The sequence below is a fragment of the Homo sapiens genome, chromosome 7 (assembly GCF_000001405.40).
Source record: "Homo sapiens chromosome 7, GRCh38.p14 Primary Assembly".
Lineage (NCBI taxonomy): Eukaryota > Metazoa > Chordata > Mammalia > Primates > Hominidae > Homo > Homo sapiens.
Genome location: NC_000007.14, coordinates 99,203,737 through 99,223,614, shown reverse-complemented (window position 1 = coordinate 99,223,614; position 19,878 = coordinate 99,203,737). Strand labels below are relative to the sequence as shown.

At 49.3% G+C, this 19,878-nt stretch overlaps 1 protein-coding gene across 10 annotated transcripts in view, besides 2 other annotated features; it reads left to right on the top strand.

The window, feature by feature from the left end:
* KPNA7 (karyopherin subunit alpha 7) overlaps positions 4,196 to 19,878 on the top strand; it is a 73,616-nt gene continuing 57,933 nt past the window's right edge. For 5 of the 10 annotated variants that reach the window (XM_017012211.2, XM_011516215.3, XM_017012209.2 and 2 more), the window contains exons 1-2: positions 13,334 to 13,400; positions 16,126 to 16,214. In XM_017012211.2, coding sequence (XP_016867700.1) covers positions 13,343 to 13,400; positions 16,126 to 16,214 — 147 coding nt within the window. In that variant the 5' untranslated portion in view covers positions 13,334 to 13,342. Of the gene's footprint in view, positions 4,659 to 13,333; positions 13,477 to 13,695; positions 13,733 to 15,499; positions 15,588 to 16,125; positions 16,215 to 19,878 lie in introns of those variants that run through there. The other 5 variants (NM_001145715.3, XM_017012212.2, XM_017012213.2 and 2 more) reach the window with 4 other exon arrangements.
* Positions 10,035 to 10,329: a silencer, noted in NCBI's record as "tiled region #10425; K562 Repressive non-DNase unmatched - State 22:ReprW". NCBI's record gives its function as "represses a minimal TATA promoter and a strong SV40 promoter by Sharpr-MPRA in K562 cells {active_cell/tissue: K562}" and the evidence as "EXISTENCE:reporter gene assay evidence [ECO:0000049][PMID:27701403]".
* Positions 10,035 to 10,329: an enhancer, noted in NCBI's record as "tiled region #10425; HepG2 Activating DNase matched - State 5:Enh". NCBI's record gives its function as "activates a minimal TATA promoter and a strong SV40 promoter by Sharpr-MPRA in HepG2 cells {active_cell/tissue: HepG2}" and the evidence as "EXISTENCE:reporter gene assay evidence [ECO:0000049][PMID:27701403]".

Genomic DNA, 19,878 nt, shown 5'->3' with positions numbered 1-19,878 from the left:
CCTCCTGCCGGGTTCGTGACATTCTCCTGTTTCAGCCTCCCAAGTAGCTGGGACTACAGGCGCCTGCCACCATGCCTGGCTAATTTTTTTGTATTTTTAGTAGAAACGGGGTGTCACTATGTTAGCCAGGCTGGTCTCCATCTGACCTCGTGATCTGCCTGCCTTGGCCTCCCAAAGTGCTGGGATTACAGGCGTGAGCCACCGTGCCCGCCCTTCCTTCCTTCCTTCCTTCCTTCCTTCCTTCCTTCCTTCCTTCCTTCCTTCCTTCCTCCCTCCCTCCCTCCCTCCCTTCCTTCCTCTTTCCCTCCCTCTCCCTCTCCTCTTTCTTTTCTTCTCTCTCTCTCTTCTTTTTTTTTGAGACAGGGTCTTACTCTGTCACCCAGGCTGGAGTGCAGTGGTACGATCAAAGCTCACTGCAGCCTCAACCTCCTGGGCTCAAGCCATCCTGCCACCTCAGCCTCCCAAGTAGCTGGGACTACAGGCACGTGCCACCATACCCAGCTAATTTTTTTTTTTTGTAGTGACGTGGTCTCAAACCCCTGGGCTCAAGTGATCCCCCTGCCTTGGCCTCCCAAAGTGCTAGGATTACAGGTGTGAGCCACCATGCCCAGCCCATACAATGGAATATTTAAAAAACTGAGGATGTAAATGTATATATATTTTTAAGGTTCTAGAACAGCTTAACCCCTTTTTTGCAAAATAGGTGCTTCTCTGATCACCAAGATAAGATCAGATCAGATCACGGTGAGTTTATCTGGGTGGTGGGATTTCAGGTGATTTTTTTTTTTTTTTTTGAGACGGAGTCTCACTCTGTCCCCCAGGCTGGAGTGCGGTGGCGCTATCTCGGCTCACTGCAAGCTCCGCCTCCCGGGTTCACGCCATTCTCCTGCCTCAGCCTCCCGAGTAGCTGGGACTACAGGCACCCGCCACCTCGCCCGGCTAATTTTTTGTATTTTTAGTAGAGACGGAGTTTCACCGTGTTAGCCAGGATGGTCTCAATTTCCTGACCTCGTGATCCACCCGCCTCGGCCTCCCAAAGTGCTGGGATTACAGGCATGAGCCACCGCGCCCGGCCCAGGTGATTTTTTTAAACCTTCTTTACATTTATAAGTGTTGCCTGAAGTTTTTTTTTTAGTGAATGAGAATGACTGTTTTTAATCTGAAATCATAATTAGTATTATTTTTGAGACAAGGTCTCCCTTTGTCTCCCAGGCTGGAGTGCAGTGGCATGGTCACAACTCACTGTAGCCTTTACCTCCCAGGCTCAAGCGATCCTCCCGTTTCAGCCTCCTGAGTAGCTGGGACTGCAGGTGTGCACCACCATGCCTGGCTAATTAAAAAAAAATTTTTTTTTGTACAGACGGGGTCTCACTATGTTGCCTAGGCTTGAAATTATTCTTGATGAAAAGGAGGAAATAAATCCCAATCAATGTCAAGAGGCTCCCTTTGGGCCCTCGCCTTGGGGTAGTGAGGGGTGAGGGGAGTCCTTTCCAGCCAGCTTTGGAAGCCGCATTCCCAGCTGTTGTTTGTTGAGGCCTTGGAGGAGGAAGGAGATCTGTGCCCTCCCAAGAGGGTGACGGGATGAAGCCTTGGCAGGTTCACCACGTGCTCCTTGAAGACCAAACATGGACACGGAGCCTGGGCCCAGAAATAGCCCCTTTTGCTCCAGAGACCCTTGGAATTCTGTGGGGTCATCGCAGGGAGGGGAGAGCCTGAGCAGGCTGTTGCCGAAACCTTCCTTGCAGACTCCGAAATGGAAGATGGGACCTGGGACAGGCTCCTCTGAGCACGACACTCCCGAAGTGGGGCAGAGATGAAACTGCGACCTGGACAAAGAGTTCCCTAGAGTCAGCCCAGGCCAGATGCTGTGGCTCATGCTTATAATCCCACCATTTTGGGAGGTGAGGCAGGCAGATTGCTTGAGGCCAGGAGTTTGAGACCACCCTGGCCAACATGGCAAAACCCCATCTCTACAAAAAAAAAAAAAAATTGCAATTAGCTGGATGTGGTGGTGTGTGCCTATAGTACCAGCTACTCAGGAGGCTGAGGAGGGAGGATGGTTTGAGCCCGGGAGGCAGAGGTTGCAGTGAGCTGAGATTGTGCCACTGCACTCCAGCCTGGGTGACAGCATGAGACTCAGACTCTTAAAAAAAAAAAAGTCAGCCCAGCTTGAAGAACTTCTATTTCCAAGCCAACTGGAGATTTCCTAATAAATGTGAATTCTTTTTTGTTTGTTTATGTGAGACAGAGTCTCGCTCTGTCACTCAGGGTGGAGTGCAGTGGCGAGATCTCGGCTCAGTGCAACATCTGCCTCCTGGGTTCAAGCGATTCTCCTGTCTCAGCCTCTAGAGTAGCTGGTATTACAGGCCCCCGCCACCACGCCTGGCTACTTTTTGTATTTTTAATAGAGACTGGGTTTCGCCATGTTGGCCAGGCTGGTCTCGAACTCCTGACCTCAGGTGATCCACCCACCTCAGCCTCCCAAAGTGCTGGGATTACAGGCATGAGCCACTGCACCCAGCACCTAATAAATGTGAATTCTGTGGGATCCCAGAAATATGATATATGGCAGTCCAGGCTGCTGAAGACAGGTTTCTCCAGGGGTCCAGCTGTATTTCTTTCTTTTTTTATACTGTGTTTGGATTTATATCTCAATTTGATTTTATTTGGCGCTAAAGTGACATTTTTATTTTATTATCTTGAAAATATTTCAAAAATCTTTCTGATTGTTCATCCCCCTTCTTCCCTCTCCTTTCCCCCCCTTCATCCATCATTTCTCTTTGTCAAGAAGTATTTAGGCCAGGCTCAGTGGCTCAGGCCTGTATTCCCAGCACTTTGGAAGGCAAAGGTGGGAGGATCACTTGAGCCCAGGAGTTCAAGACCAGCCCGGGAAAGAAAGCAAAACCCAATCTCTACAAAAAATACAAAAATTAAGTGGGTGTGGTGGCATGTGCCAGTGGTCCCAGCTACTCAGGAGGCTGAAGTGGGAGGATCACTTGAGCCCAGGATGTGGAGGCTGCAGTGAGCTGTGATTGCACCACTGCACTCCAGCCTGGGCAACAGAGCAAGACCCTGTCTGAAAACAAGATTTAAAAAAACAGAGAAAACCCATTCTCCTGGGACATGGTAAGTGCTGGCGCTCACTGAGGCCATGTGACACCTGGCCATGCTTCTGCCCATGTCCCTCTCCTCCTTCCCTGCCCCTCTAGGGCAGGCCGCAGCCCCAGGGCTGGGGAGCAGGAGCCCTGGATTGTTCATCTTATTCAAGGCTGAAAAGCTTCAGGAGAACAGCAGGATTGTAAATGACCCGTCTTTTTATTATGATGCTCTGTGAAGTCAGTTTGGGCAAGAAAATCAATTCTGCCTCATCCACCTTCTCAGTCTCATTTATTCTCCACAGATGACAGGACAGAGTGGAATGGCCTGGAGTGATAGAAGCCAGGCCCCGTCACTGTCATCGCAACCCGGGAAGCCTGGTTTACAAGTGCTCCAATTTTCCTTTCTTTCTTTCCTTTATTTCGTCTCGCTCTGTCACCCAGGCTGGAGTGCAGTGGAGCGATCTCTGCTCATTGCAACCTCCGCCTCCTTGGTTCAAGTGAATCTCCTGCCTCAGCCTCCTGAGTAGCTGGGACTACAGGCGTTCACCACCGCTCCCGGCTAATTTTGTATTTTTAGTAGAGATGGAGTTTCACTATGTTGGCCAGTCTGATCTCAAACTTTTGTATTTTTAGTAGAGATGGGGTTTTGCCACGTTGTCCAGGCTGGTTTTGAACTCCTGGCCTCAAGTGATCATCCCGCCTCAGCCTCCCAAAGTGCTGGGATTACAGGTGTGAGCCACTGTGCCCGGCCCTCTCAGCTAATTAATTTTTTTTTTTTTTTGTAGAGACGGGGTCTCACTACATTGCCCAGGCTGGTCTCAAACTCCTGGGCTCAAGCAATCCTCCTGCCTTGGTTTCCCAAAGTGTTGGGATTACAGGCGTGAGCCACTGCACCAGACTACAATTGCCGTCTGGTTTCCACTTTGCTGGGAGGGCAGGGACCAGGTCATTCATTCACTGCTGCTTTGTCAGGGCGTGGCACATGAAGATTAGAGTAGGCAGTCTAAATATTTGCAGAATCAATACCTGAAATGTTCTTATTTTCATTCCAGTATGAAGCAGATCTATTCTCACCTCCATCAAATCTTATTGCCTGCCTTGGGAGTAAACGCTAATTAATTCAACAGCAGCTTTTAAGCCTTCTGTGCAAGTTTAGGAAGAGGCCACTCAACCTAGCTAGATCCTAGGAGCCTTAAACGTCCAGAATGCAAACCCTTCCCTAGAAGGAATTCCCCTCAACCCTCACCCCACTTCACCTTTTGATGGTTTACTCAAGGGCCTCAAAATGCTACAGCTGCAGAGGCTGAAGGTTCTGAACATGAGACTCACCTGGGAGACCCGGGCCTCGCCCCTCAGCCTCCCTGACCAACTCAATCAGCCTCTTGCCCGGGGCGGGCTCAAAACTCCCCAAGTGATTCCAATCTGCGTTCACGCATAAGAACCATCGGCGTGGGGGTAGAATCAGCCCTGTGAGGTGGGGCCAAGGGCTGCGAAACACCTGCCATCAGCTGAGGGCATTTAAGGCTGACCAAGGGGCTGGAGGCTGCGGCTCCTGGCCAGGTGAGTGGTTGGTGGCTTGTCCCTGTGTGAGAAAGTGCGAATGTGTGCACGAGCCCCGGCTCCAGACGTGGCTGAGTCCTTCTGTCTGGGTATTGGCTGATCAGATATCTTGCTCTTGTACGGGTAATGAGCCAGGCAGCTGTTTGGGGGCCCTGAGGAGGCTGCTGTGTCCTTGCTCTCCACCACGGAGGTGCCTCTGGGGGCCCTTTCTGAAGCAGATCTGCCTGCCCATGGGGGCAGCTTGGAGAAGGCCTAGGCTGTTGTCTCTGTTGAAATCAGCCAGTGTCTTTAGAGACACTGTGCTAGGTCGTCTTTGGCTTGTTTTTGAGGGTGGATAAGGAGGAAGTGGTAGGTGCAGGGGTCTGTTTACTCTGCAGAGCCCAGACGCGGGCTTGCGGGGTGTCTGGAGTGAGTCTAACCACATAGTGGGCTGTGACTCCCATGTCCTCGGCCTTGCCATGTGCCCCTCCTTCCTGAAGTACTCCCCGGGATGTTGTCACCTGTGGGACTTGTTCCCGATTCAGCCCCCTCTCAGGAAGCTTGCTTTTATATCTTTCACAGGTAGAGGGCCTGGTCTCTTGCCTCCTTCTTGTGAACAGGAGTTTGAGACCAGCCTGGGCAACAAAGACCCTGTTTCTACAAAAAAAAGAAAAAAAAATTTGAAAAAATCAGCCAGGTATGGCAGTGTGCACCTGTAGTCCTAGCTACTCAGGAGGCTGAAGGGAGAGGATCACTTGAGACCAGAGTAGGCAACATAGCGAGGCCCAGTCTCTACCAAAAAATAAAAAAATTAGCCAGGTGTGATGGTGCATGCCTGTGGTCCTGGCTACTCGGGAGGCTGAGGCAGGAGGATTGCCTGAGCCAGGGAGTTTGAGGCTGCAGTGAGCCGAGATCACTTCAACCTGGGCATGGCCTGCAGCCCCTCTGGCCCCTCTTTCTCAGCATTGAAACTGAAGTCTGGAATCCCCAGGTGCGTCTCATTCATGTTGGTAAAGCCCCTCAGAAAGCTAAAGAGTGGCGAGGTGGGGCCGGGCATGGAGGCTCACGCCTGTAATCCCAGCACTTTGGGAGGCCGAGGTGCGTGGGTTGCTTGAGGCCAGGAGTTCCAGACCAGTCTGGCCAACATGATGAAACTCTGTCTCTAGTAAAAATACAAAAATTAGCTGGGTGTGGTGGTGTGTGACTGTAATCCCAGCTATTTGGGAGGCTGAGGGAGGAGAATTGCTTCAACCCAGGAGGCGGAGGCTGCAGTGAGCCGAGATAGCACCACTACACTCCAGCCTGGGTGACAGAGCAAGACTCTGTCTCAAAAAAAAAAAAAAAAAAAAAAAAAAAAAGGCAAGGTGGAGTCCCCGTTCCTGGGCCTTTTCTCCTCCCTGGCTGTCCTCTCCTGTCCCTGGACACTTTACCTTCCCTCTCCACCCCCAACCCCAGCTAGCCTCAGCTTGTGGACCAATGCATCTTGGGGCATTGAGGCAGAGGCTGCTGGGATCCCTGAACCCCTCCTTCCTGGCAGATAAGTCTCATTGACTCGCTAGCTCGAATCCAACATGTGTTTTTAGCTTAAACAAACCCTACTTTGAAGAACTGGCTGGTAGTGATGCAGATCTGAACATACAGATATCAAATGATGTCCAAGGTACAGATGAAAGAAACACATGTCACAAAATGGCATGTTCAAGATCCCCTCCTCGAATTACCATGTCAGTGCCTGTGCAGCTGCAGCCGGGCTGGGCACACAGAGGGTGGTGAGTTTTTAAAGGTTAACTTGGTGGAGGAGTGGGGTTATTGGAAGCTAACGTTCAATATATTTCTGAAGTATTTATATCCTTTAAGCCCTCACTATGTGTTACTTTGAAATCCAAAAAATGCTATTTTGTAGAAGCCAACTCTTGGATGATGACATGTCTTAATTTAAAATGGTTCTCAGTTCATGAAAGTTGCTCACAGGAAAAACTCAGCTAGATCTAGAAAAGTATAGAAAGCTCAAAAATGGCCTGAAATGCCCCAACCAGAGGAAGCGACTCAATACCGTTAATAAGACCTGGAAGTCCATAATGGTCCCTTACTCAGAAGGATTGAAAGGGTAAGAGGTGGCTGGGCATGGTGGCTCATGCCTGTAATCCCAGCACTTTGGGAGGCCAAGGCGGGCGGATCACCTGAGGTCAGGAGTTCGAGACCAGCCTGGCCAACATGGTGAAACCCTGTCTTCACTAAAAATACAAAAATTAGCTAGGCATGGTGGCGCATGCCCGTAATCCCAGCTACTCAGGGGGCTGAGGCAGGAGAATTGCTTGAATCTGGAAGGTGGAGGTTGCAGTGAGCTGAGATCACGCCACTGCATTCTAGCCTGGGCGACAGAGCCAGACTCCATCTCACAAAAAAAAAGAGGGTGTTGGTAAGAAGCTTGGGAGCCTAGGGGACCTTGGGCATGGTAGGGTTCCTTGGCAGGGCCTCTGGTACCTGTCACACAGGGCAGGGGTCTTACAGTGTATAGGGAGCAGCTGAGCTGGCCTGAGACCCCAGGGATAAATAAAACCCCTAGGTGGATGACATTTGTCTTAATCACTAGTTCGGCTTTCTTGGGATCTCAAACTTGAAGAACCAATGAACAAAGGTACTGACTTGGGCCAGGTGCAGTGGCTCATATCTGTAATCCAAGCACTTTGGGAGGCTGAAGTGGGAGGATCACTTGAGCCCAGGACTTCGAGACAAGCCTGGGCAATGTAGCAAGACACCTGTCTTTCTAAAATGCAAAAAACTTAGCTGGGTGTGGTGGTGTGTGCCTGTAGCCCCAGCTCCTTTGGGAGGCTGAGGTGAGAGGTCATCTGAGCCCAGAAAGTCGAGGCTGTAGTGAGCTGTGATTGTGCCACTGCACTCCAGCCTGGATGGTGGGAGTAAGACCTATCTCAAAACAAAAAGGGGCAGGGTACTGACTTGGACTGTGTATAACTCAGTGCTTTTCTTTTTTTTTTTTTTTTAATTAGAGAAGGGATCTCTTGCCTAGGCTGGAGCGTAGTGGTGCAATCATAACTCGCTGCTGCAGCCTCAACCTACTGGGCTCAAGTGATCCTCCTGCCTTAGCCTCCTGAGTAGCTGGGACTGCAGTTGTACAGCAACCACCTGGCTATATATTTTTTTCATTTATTTGTAGAGATGGGGTCTCACTGTGTTGCCCCAAGTCTTGAACTCCTGGTCTCAAATAATCCTCCCAAACTGCTGGGATTACGGGCATGAGCCTCTGCCTGGCTGTCAACACTTTCTTAAGTAAAGAACGACAGGGCACCCAGCTCTCCTGGTCGCTGCCAACAGCCATGTGAAGGGAAAGAAGCGGAATCCGAGCTGTGACCAGAGAAGCCTGGAGAAGCAACAGGGATCTGCTCTGCCGCTGGGTTTGCAGAATGTCCCTACACGAAGTGATCTGCTAGCTCTATAACCTTCAACCCTCTCCCTAAAGATACCTCAAGGAGTGGGGAGGACCCTGTCTCATCTGCAGCTGAGCTTTCTCGGCTTCAAGCCATTTCCTGTGATATTTGGTTTGAAGGAAGGTGGCAAATGCCTTTTTTTTTTTTTTTTTTTTTTTTTTTGAGACAGTCTCGCTCTGTTGCCCAGGCTGGAGTGCAGTGGCACCATCTCAGCTCACTGCAACCTCTGCCTCCCGGGTTCAAGCGATTCCAGTGCCTCAGCCTCCCGAGTAGCTGAGATTACAGGCGCCCACCACCACGCCCAGCTAATTTTTGTATTTTTAGTAGAGACGGGGTTTCACCATGTTGACCAAGCTGGTCTCGAACTCCTGACCTTGTGATCCACCCACCTCAGCCTCCCAAAGTGCTGGAATTACAGGCATGAGCCACCGCGCCGAGTTTCTAATAGCCATGGCTTCCAGGTTGTGGCAGAAGGATGAGCAGTTCCCTTGGCAATGGTCTTAGAGCTGAGTGCTGTCTTGGGTTTTCCCAGAGGCAGGATTGCAGCCCCTTGTACCAAACTGGCCTCTTCCTCATGCATGCTCAGTCTCATTAACTGAGATAATTGTGCCATTGGCAACATGTGAAGCGTAGCAACAAGGTGGCAGCTAGAGCAGGTATTTCAGAAGTGGCCTCTATTGTTTCTGTTGCATGAAATGGGCTTTCCTCCTTTCTAACATCTCACCCCATGTGTTAAGTGCCACCCATAGTGGTGGCCTGCCTTCCCTCCCTCCCCTCCCCTCCCCTACCTCCCCTCCCCTCCCCTACCTCCCCTCCCCTCCCCTACCTCCCCTCCCCTCCCCTACCTCCCCTCCCCTCCCCTACCTCCCCTCCCCTTCCCTACCTCCCCTCCCCTCTTTCCTTTGAAACAGGGTCTCTCTTTGTTATCCAGGCTGGATTGCAGTGGCGTGATCTCTGCTCACTGCAGCCTCCACCTCCTGGGCTCAAGCGATTCTCCCTCCTCAGCCTCCCAAGTAGCTGGGACTACAGGTGCACACCACCACAACTGGCTAGTTTTTTTGTTTTTGTTTTTGTTTTTTGTTTTTTTTTGAGATAGGGTCTTGCTCTGTCACCCAGACTGGAGTGCAGTGGTGCGATCTCAGCTCACTGTAACCTCTGCCTCCCAGTTTCAAGTGATTCTCCTGCCTCAGCCTCCCAAGTAGCTTGGACTACAGGCACATGCCACCATCCCTGGCTAATTTTTTTTTTTTTTTGTATATTTTTAGTAGAGACGGGGTTTTGCCACATTGGCCAAGGATGATCTCAAACTCCTGACCTCAGAGGATCTGCCCACCTTGGCCTCCCAAGGTGCTGGGATTACAGGTGTGAGCCACTGCACTGGCCATGGTGGTGATCTCATGCTTTCCTAATTAGACCTTGTTACAGATTATTGGCTGCAAAGCTTGGACGCAGGAGTCAAATCTGATGTCCTGGTTCTGATACTTCACAGTTATGGGAACTTTGGGAAATGATGTCTGAGATGGCTCCTTCACCTGCAAAATGGGGATATTTTTACCTTAGTATTAGATGAAACTTCATTTAATCCTAAATGTCTAAAATTCTGGGCACATAATAAATGTTTTGGGCCAGGTGCAGTGGCTCATGTGCATAATTCCAGTGATTTGAGAGGTGGAGGCAGGAGGATCACTTGAGGTCAGGAGTTCAAGAACAGCGTGGGCAACACAGCAAGACCGCATCTCTGAAAAATGAAAACATTAGCTGAGTATGGTGGTGCATATCTGTAGTCCCAGCTACTTGGGGGGCTGAGGTGAGAGGATTGCTTGAGCCCAGTAGTTTGAGGCTGCAGTGAGCTATGATTGTATCACTGCACCCCAACCTGGGTGACAGAGTAAGACCCCATCTCTACAAAAAATTTAAAAAATTAGTGAAGTGTGGTAGCTTGTTCCTGTGGTCCCAGCTACTCAGGAAGCTGAGGTGGGAGGATCATTTGAGCCCAGGAGGTCAAGGCTGCAGTGAGTTATGATTGCTCCGCTGCACTTCAGCCTGGGCAACAATGAGACTCTGTCTCTCTCTCTTTTTTTTTTTTTTTTTTTTTTTTTTTAAAAGGCCAGGTGCAGTGGCTCACACATGTAATCCTAGCACTTTGGGAGGCCAAGACGGTGGATCATGAGGTCAAGAGTTTGAGACCATCCTGGCCAACATGGCAAAACCCCGTCTCTACTAAAAATACAAAAGTTAGCTGGGGGGTGTGGTGGTGTGAGCCTTTAGTTCCAGCTACTTGGGAGGCTGAGACAGGAGAATCACTTGAACCCGGGAGGCGGAGGTTGCAGTGAGCTGGGATCGACCCACTGCACTCCAGCCTGGCAACAGAGTGAGACTCTGTCTCAAAAAAAAAAAAAAATCCCTTTTGGCCATTGCTCCTTAAATAGGCCCATAATTCTTGTCTACTCCAGACTTATAAATGCCCTATGTCTCAACTCTTGGAGACCTAGAAATAGAATCTCATTTAAACCCAAATTTTGGTTCAACTGATGATCCTCTTGACATTGGTTATTCTGGTGACTAGGAATCTAGTTTTCAAGATGTTAAAAGGATACTGTGATCAATAGCAATGATTTTTTCTTTTCTTTTTTTCTTTTCTTTTTGAGACAGGGTCTCTGTCACCCATGCTGGAGTGCAGTGGCACAATCATGGCTCACTGCAGCCTTGATTTCTGGGGCTCAGGCGATCCTCCCACCGAGTATCTGGGACTATAGGTGCCCATCACGATGCCGGATTAATTTTTAATTTTTTTAATCTTTTTTGGTAGAGATAGGGTCTCACCATTTTGCTGAGGCTGGTCTCAAACTCCTGCCTCAAGCTTCTGCCTTGGCCTCCCAAAGCGTTGAGACTATAGGTGTGAGCCACTGTGCCTGGCCAATTTAGTCTTAAAAAGCAACGCTTCCTTATGGGGCAGAATTTGAGATTACTTAAAAGTAAGCCATGCATGGTGGCTCACTCCTGTAATCCCAGCACTTTGGGGGACCGAGGCGGGTGGGCCACCTGAGGTCAGGAGTTTGAGACCAGCTCAGCAATATGATGAAACCCCATCTCTACCAAAAAAAGAAAAAAAATACAAAAATTAGCTGGGCGTGGTGGCAGGTGCCTGTAATCCCAGCTACGTGGGAGGCTGAGGCAGGAGAATTGCTTGAACCGAGAGGTGGAGGTTGCAGTGAGCTGAGATCGCACCACTGCACTCCAGCCTGGGCTACAAGAATGAAACTCTGTCTCAAAAAAAAAAAAAAAAAAAAAAAAAAAAGGACACATGTGGATCGGACACCAGTGTTTCCTAGCCTGATCTCCCAGTGCTGAGGCTGTCTTGCAATGTTGTTCTCTTCCCTTCCCAGGTATACTGAGTTCTGATGTGTTGCTAGGAGTAAAGCTACCTCGAGCTTGAAGTTGTATTGAAGAAATCTAAAGCCTGAGATAGTCTTAAGCCAACTTGTGTGAGGGCTCCCTGGGCAGCAACCAAAGGACTCTGGATTCACTGAGGTCCCTTTGTCCACATTGGTTGGGGAGGAGGTCAACATGACTCACAATGATTGAGAGCTTCGTGAATGTTTAAACCAGGTGTCACCCTCCACCTCTCTGGCTTTGAGATCGGAGAGTGGGAGAGATTGGTCAATTCCAGGAACTAATTTGCATTTCCCAGGATCAGATTTGCAGACAAGGTATATAGGCTATTCTTTCCCAGGCTGTGGAGGAAACTAATGCTTTAAAGCAGGCAGAGCCACCAGGATCTGAAACCCAGAGGGATGGTGTGGGCTGTTGGTTTCCTCTGCTCTGAGGCTCAGCTGACATGCTCTCCTGTAGCTCCTGTCTTGCTGTGGGTGGCTGGAGCTTGATTTTAGGGACTTGTCCCTGGCGCAGTGACTACTGTTGCCAGCAGTGCCTCTGATACTAACTCTGTTGTTCTATCTCCAACTCCCTCCTTTGTCCTGGTTCTTTGCTAATTCTTCATTCTCTCAGGCCCTAATGTGAGCATCCTCAAGACTCGATCCTTGTTCTGATCTTGCATAGAGCTTGTCTCTCTTCTTACAACATCAGTCTTGGCCCTAAATTACTTTTTTTGAGACAGAGTCTCACTCTGTTGCCCAGGCTGGAGTGTAGTGGCTTGATCTAGGCTCACTGCAACCTCTGCCTCCCAGATTCAAGCGATTCTCCTGCCTCGGCCTCTCAAGTAGTTGGGATTACAGGCACATGTGCCACCACACCTGGCTAATCTTTGTATTTTTAGTAGAGACAGGGTTTTGCCATGTTGGCCAGGTTGGTCTCGAACTCCTGACCTCAGGTGATCCACCCGTCTTGGCCTCCCAAAGTGATGGGATTATAGGCATGAGCCACTGTGCCCAGCCAGCTCTAAATTCTCTGATGCAAATCTCCAAGTTGTCTGCACTGCCCCTTTCAAATTGATATGTCTGAATTAGTCTTTTCTACCAAAACTATTCTTGGCTGCTATTCACTGAAGACAAGAGTCAGTTGACTTTCTTTATCCAATTTTCTCTTTTCTATAATGTAGTCTGGACCATCTCGTATGGTCAGAAACAGATGAATATTACATACCTGTAAGAAATATTCCCTGCTGCCTTGTGAACATTCAAAGTTGGGGCCAGGTGCAGTGGCTCATGCCTCTAATCCCAATGCTTTGGGAGGCTGAGGGGGAGGATTGCTTTAGCCCAGGGGTTTGAAACCAGCCTGGGCAACATAGTGAGATCCCATCTCTACAAAAAATACAAATTAGCCAGCCTTGGTGACTTGTGCCTGTAGTCCTAGCTGCTCAGGAGGCTGAGGCAGGAGGATCACTTGAGCTCAAGAGGTTGAGGCTGCAGTAAGCCATGATTACACTATTTATTGCACTCCAGCCTGGGCAACGGAGCAAGACTGTCTCAAAAGCAAAACAAAAACACAAAAGCAAACTCCCTCCAATTTAAAAAAAGTTCAAACTTGGCCTGATTTGAATAACCACCTCTAACTGAGGGCCAACTCCCTGTCTCGTATCACACAGTACCCTCCCTTGACAAATATTTGAGTACCTACTTTGTCATGTGTTGTGAAAGAGGTAAGAAATCCCTGCCTAAGACACAGTACTGTTACCATGGGGAGTAGGAGGAGAGGAAGTTGGACAAACAAGAAAATATCAGGCAGTGGTTAAAGCTGAGAAGAAAATAAGACTGGGAAGACAGTTAAAAGGGCTTTCAGAGATGTTTAAGCAGAGACTGAATGAAGAGGAGCCAAGTGTGCAGAGATCCTGGGCAGAGCAGCTACTTCAAAGGCCCGAGTACAATGAACCTGGAACACTTGATAATGAAGCCCAGGGGTCTAGAACACAATGATCAAGGAAAGAGTTGTTGGAGGTGAAGTGGGCTGGGGCCAGTGCAGAAAGTGAATTTTCTTCTAAACTCATTGGGTAGCCAGGAGAGTTTTTTTAAGCAGGAGAGTTAGATCAGATTCTCCTTGATTTTTTCTTTTTTTTGTTTGTTTGTTTTGGAGACAGGGTCTGGCTCTGCTGTCCAGGCTGGAGTGCAGTGGTGCAATCGTGGCTCACTGCAGCCTTGACTTCCTGGGCTCCAGAAATCCTCCCACCTCAGCCTCAAGTAGCTGGGACTACAGGTATGTGCCACCATGCCCAGCTTATTTTTATATTTTTTGTAGAGACGGGGGTCTTGCTTTGTTGCCCAAGCTGGTCTTGAACACCTGGCCTTAAGCAAGTCTCCACCTTAACCTCTCAAGTTGTTGAGATTACAGGCATGAGCCACTGTGCCTGACTAATCAGATTTTTTTCTTTTTTTTTTTTTTTTTTTTTTTTTTTTGAGTTGGAGTCTCGCTCTGTTGCCCAGGCTGGAGTGTAGTGGTGCGATCTTGGCTCACGGCAACCTCCGCCCCCTGGGTTCAAGCGATTCTCCTGTCTCAGCCTCCTGAGTAGCTGGGACTACAGGTGCCTGCCACTACGCCTGGCTAATTTTGTACTTTTAGTAGAGACAGGGTTTCGCCATGTTGGTCTGGCTGGTCTCGAACTCCTGACCTCAGGTGATCCACAATCACATGTACTCTGTGCAAAGAACAGATTGGAATAAGGCAATGGGAGAAGCAGGGAGACCAGCTGGAAGGCAACTGCAGTAGTGTGGGTAAGAGGTGATAGTGGTCTGGACTGGGGTGGAGGCAGTCTACTGAAGGATTCTCAGTGACTTGTGCTTGAGACTGTCCTGACCCCATGTGCTGGTGCATTGGGTGTGGGGTTTTCCTGTTGCAGCCTTGGCGGGTCTCCTCACCACCCTGTACATATGCCTGATTTATAACTCCTCAGACACACCGTGTGAAAGCCTTCTTTTCTTTTTCTTTTTGAGACGGAATCTTACTCTGTTGCCCAGGCTCGAGTACAGTGGCGCAATCTCAGCTCACTGCAACCTCCGCCTCCCGGATTCAAGTGATCCTCCTGCTTCAGCCTCCCAAATAGCTGGAATTATAGGTGTCCGCCACCATGCCTGACTAATTTTTGTATTTCTAGTAGAGATGGGGTTTCCCCATGTTGCCCAGGCTGATCTCGAACTCCTGGCCTCAAGTGATCCATCTGCCTCAGCCTTCCAAAGTGCTGGGATTATAGGTGTGAGCCACTGCACCTGGCATGAAAGGCTTCTATATATGACAACCAGCCCATCTGCCTCATTTGAGGACCCAGTTGAAGCCAAAGCACTTTTAAAAGCTTTCCTTTACTGCTATGCCCAGCATTGGTGGTCTTGGTGCTCCCACAGTGTTCACAGCCTACTGAGCTGGTGTGGTGATGCTTATAGAAGCTGACTTCAGGTTCATGCCTGTAATCCCAGCACTTTGGGAGGCTGAGGTGGGTGGATCACAAGGTCAGGAGTTCAAGACCAGCCTGGCCAACGTGGTGAAAAGCCGACTCTACAAAAACAAACAAAACCAAAAATAAGCCAGGTGTGGCCGGGCACGGTGGCTCACGCCTGTAATCCCAGCACTTTGGGAGGCCGAGGTGGGTGGATCACGAGGTCAGGAGATAGAGACCATCCTGGCTAACACGGTGAAACCCCGTCTCTACTAAAAATACAAAAAAATTTGCTGAGCGTGGTGGCAGGTGCCTGTAGTCCCAGCTACTCGGGAGGCTGAGGTAGGAGAATGGCGTGAACCCGGGAGGCGGAGCTTGCAGTGAGCCAAGATTGCGCCACCGCACTCCAGCCTGGGTGACAGAGTGAGACTCTGTCTCAAAAAATAAATAAATAAAATAAATAAAAAGTGAGTCATGTGTGGTGGCTCATGCCTGTAGTCCCAGCTACTCAAGAGGCTGAGGTGGGTGAATCACTTGAGTCCAGGAGGTCAAGGTTGCAGTGAGCCGTGATTGTGCCAATGCACTCCAGCCCGGGTGACAGAGTGAGACTCTGATGCCAACAAGCAGGTCTTGCAGAAATAGGACATGGAGCTGAGAAGTCCAGACTGTTGTTCTTGCTGCCAGGTTGAGCCCAAGGGTTGGGGACGGGGAGTCTGTGCTGTGTATATGGGTTCTAACTCTCACTCAGCTTCTCTGGTCCCAAAAAATAAAAAATGCTGGCTGGGAGCGGTGGCTCATGCCTGTAATCCCAGCACTTTGGGAGGCCGAGGTGGGCGGATCACAAGGTCAGGAGTTCAAGACCAGCCTGGCCAACGTGGTGAAACCCCGTCTCTACTAAAAAGACAAAAATTAGCCGGGCGTGGTGGCAGGCGCCTATAGTCCCAGCTACCTGGGAGGCTGAGGCAGGAGAACCACTTGAACCCGGGAGGCGGAGGTTGCAGTGAACTGATATCCCCCCACTGCACTCAAGTCTGGGCAACAGAGCGAGACTCTGTCTCAAAAAAAAAAAAAAAAAAAAAAAAAAAAAAAAAAAAAAAAGCTAGCTTCCTGGGTCTGCCCTTTGCTCCACTGTGAGCCCTTTAAGGGTTAGAGCCTTATGATACTGACATAATAACCCACACAATGGGCACTGAAAATTTCTTTGTTGCTGTCCAACCTGCAGGTAACTTACTACTTCCAGTCAATATGCCGACCTTAGATGCTCCAGAAGAGAGGCGGAGAAAATTTAAGTACCGAGGCAAAGATGTGTCTGTGAGTATGAAGCACCCACCTGCTTCTATTGGGGACCAGTGCAATCTGCATAAAAAGCGGGGTGAAGAGACCAGGCGCGGTGGCTCATGCCTGTAATCCCAACACTTTGAGAGGCTGAGACGGGCAGATCACAAGGTCAGGAGGTTAAGACGATCCTGGCCAACATGGTGTAACCCCGTCTCTACTAAAAATACAAAAATGACCTGGGTGTGGTGGCTTGTACTTGTAATCCCAGCTACTTGGGAGGCTGAGGCAGGAGAATTGCTTGAACCTGGGAGGCAGAGGTTGCAGTGAGCTGAGATCAGGCCACTGCACTCCAGCCTGGGCGACAAGAGAGAAACTCCATCTCAAAAAAAAAATAGCGGGGGGCAGGGAGGTGGTGGAGAGATGGGTTGAAAAGGCAAATATAGCAAAAGATTCTTTAGATAGATGACTAGGTGTTTCCCTGAATTATCCTTCCAACTTTTCTGTATGTTTGCTATTTTCATCATAAAATATTAAAGGTGGAGAAGACAAAAGCATGTGGACTTAGGAGCCAGACAACTGTGGAATCAAATCAAAGTTTCCGTGGAATCTTGCAATTATTTAATTTCAGAACCCCAGTTTCTTCATCCATAAAACAGGGCTGCTTAGCTGGGCATGGTAGCTCATGCCTGTGTTCCCAGTACTTTGGGGGAGGCCAAGGTGGGAGGATCGCTTGAAGATAGGAGTTCTAGACCAGCCTGGGTAACATACCAAGACCTCCAACTCTACAAAAACAAAAAATCGGCCAGGTGTGGTGGTGTGTGCCTGTAGTCTCAGATACTCTGGTGGCTGAGGCAGGAGGATTGCTTGAGCCCAGGAGTTCAAGGCTGCAGTGAACTGTGATTGTGCCACTGCACTCCAATCTGGGTGACAGAGCCAGACCCTGTCTCTAAAACAAAACCAAATAAAAAACCAGGCTGGGCTGGGCATGATGGCTCACACCTGTAATTCCAGCACTTTGGGAGGCCAAAGTGATCACTTGAGGTCAGGAGTTCGAGACCAGCCTGGCCAACATGGTGAAACCCTGTCTGTACTAAGAATACAAAAAATTAGATGTGCATGGTGGCGGGGGCCTGTAATCCCAGCTACTTGGGAGGCTGAAGCAGGAGAACTGCTTGAACCTGGGAGGTGGAGGTTGCAGTGAGTCGAGATTGTGCCACTGCACTCCATCCAGGCGACAGTGTGAGACTTCGTCTGAAAAAAATAAAAAACCAGGCTGCTATTTATCTCCGAGGAGCTGGATTGCTTCCTCAAGGGCCAGTATACAGGTGTTTACAGCTGCTCACGTCAATGAGGCTTACCAAGGAGCTAAAACGTTAGCATATAGGTATGGCCAACAGGCATGCCTTGTAGAAATAGGACTTGGAACTGAGAAGTCCAGGCTGTTCTTGCTTCCAGGTTGAGCCCAAGGGCTGGGGACGGGGGGTGTGTGCTGTGTATATGGATTCTAACATTCACTCGGCTTCTTTGGTCACATAGTTTTGTGTTGCAAGCTCTGTCCTCCATCTCTGTATCTTTTTATTTTTGAGATGAAGACTTGCTTCATAGTCCAGGCTGGAGTGCAGCAGTGTGATCTTGGCTCACTGCAACCTCTGCCTCCCAGGTTCAAGCGATTCTCCTGCCTCAGCCTCCCAAGTAGCTGGGATTACAGGTGTGCACAATTACGCCTGGCTAATTTTTTGTATTTTTAGTGGAGACAGGGTTTTGCCATGTTGGCCAGGCTGGTCTCAAACTCCTGGCCTCAAGTGATCTGCCTGTCTTGGCCTCCCAAAGTGCTGGGATTACTGGCATGAGCCACTGCTCCCAGCCCCCCATCTCTGTATCTTGACTGGCATCGTATAAGTTTAGCTCCACCTTGGGAATCCAGAAGCCTGATTAGGAGAACGAGGGAAGCACAGGGTCACAGCAGCCTGGTTAGGCCACCATCAGGAACAAAATCACTTTTTTTTTTTTTTTTTTTTTTTTTGAGATGGAGTCTTGCTCTGTCACCAGGCTGGAGTGCAATGGCGTGATCTTGGCTCACTGCAACCTCTGCCTCCTGGGTTCAAGCAATTCTCCTGCCTCAGCCTACCATGGTGTGTACCACCATGCCCGGCTAATTTTTTTTTTTGCATTTTGGTAGAGATGGGGTTTCAACATGTTGGCCAGGATGGTCTCGATCTTCTGACCTCATGATCCCCCTGCCTCGGCCTCCCAAAGTGCTGGGATTACAGGCATGAGCCACCGTGCCTGGCCCAGGAACCAAATCACTCTTACAGTAACCTATTCCAACAATGAAGCTGTCCGGCTTCTAGGACCACTGAAAATTAAAGGAAATCAGTGAGAACGAAGGAATTGAGTCTTCACAGCAACAGGAAGGGCCTGCCAAAGAGAAGAGAGAAAGGTACAAAAGTTTTTACAGGCAGGAACTGCCTAGCGATGGGGCAACAGTATGATGGGCTCAATGATTCCCAAATGTGTTCCTACCTTGCCATATAATGCCACCATGACCCTTTTAAATTTTTTCCTTTTATTATTATTTGATACACGGTCTTGCTCTGTCATCCAGGCTGGAGTGCAGTGGCACGATCATAGTTCACTGCAGCCTCTGCCTCCCAGGCTCAAGTGATCCTCCCACCTCAGCCTCCCAAGTAGCACCATGCCTGGCTAATTTTTTATTTCTTTGTAGAGACAGGGTCTCACTATGTTGGCCGGGCTGGTCTTGAACTCCTGAGCTCAAGCAATCCTCCTGCCTTGGTGTCCCAAAGTGCTGAGATTGCAGGTGGGAGCCACGGTGCCCGGCTGATGACCCATTTTCAAGCAAGAATTAAGTAGCTTAAAGAACCAAAAGTATCTAATACATGGTGACTTCTTTATAATTGTTCCTGAAATGTCTTCAGCCCAAACTCAGCTATTTAGAAAGGTTAGGTCATTTCCTCAGGATTCTTAATACTATAAAGTTTGAGTCATTAACTGACATAAGATCGGGGAGGGGAGAGAGAGATTGAGAGAGAGAGAGATTTGTAGAGGCAGGGTCTTGCTCTATTGCCCAGGCTGGAGTGCAGTGGTACAATCGTAGCTCACTGCAGCCTAGACCTCCCTGGCTCAAGGGATCCTCCCACCTCAGACTCCCAAGTAGCTGGGACTACAGGAGCATGCTACCATGCCCAGCTAATTTTTTGGTAGAAACAGGGTCTTGCTATGTTGTCCAGGCTGGTCTAGAATTCCTGGCCTCAATGATCCTCCCACCTTGACCTCCCAAAGTGCTGGGATTATAGGCACGAGATACCATGCCCAGCCTTGTTTTAATTTTGATTTCCCTCAGTATGTAGACTTGGGGATGAAGGCTTTAATGGCTTATAGACAGGTTTCATTAATAGTGGAAATGGGCCATGCACAGTTGCTCAGCCTGTATTCTCAGCACTTTGGGAGACTGAGGCAGGTAGATCACTTGAGCCTAGGAATTCAAGAGCAGCCTGGCCAACATGGAGAAACCCCATCTCTACTAAAAATATAAAACATAGCCGAGTGTGGTGACACATGCCTGTAATCCCAGCTACTTGGGAGGCTGAGGCACAAGAATGGCTTGAACCCCAGAGGCAGAGGTTGTAGTGGGCTGAGATCATGCCACTGCCCTCCAGCCTGGGTGACAGAGTGAGAC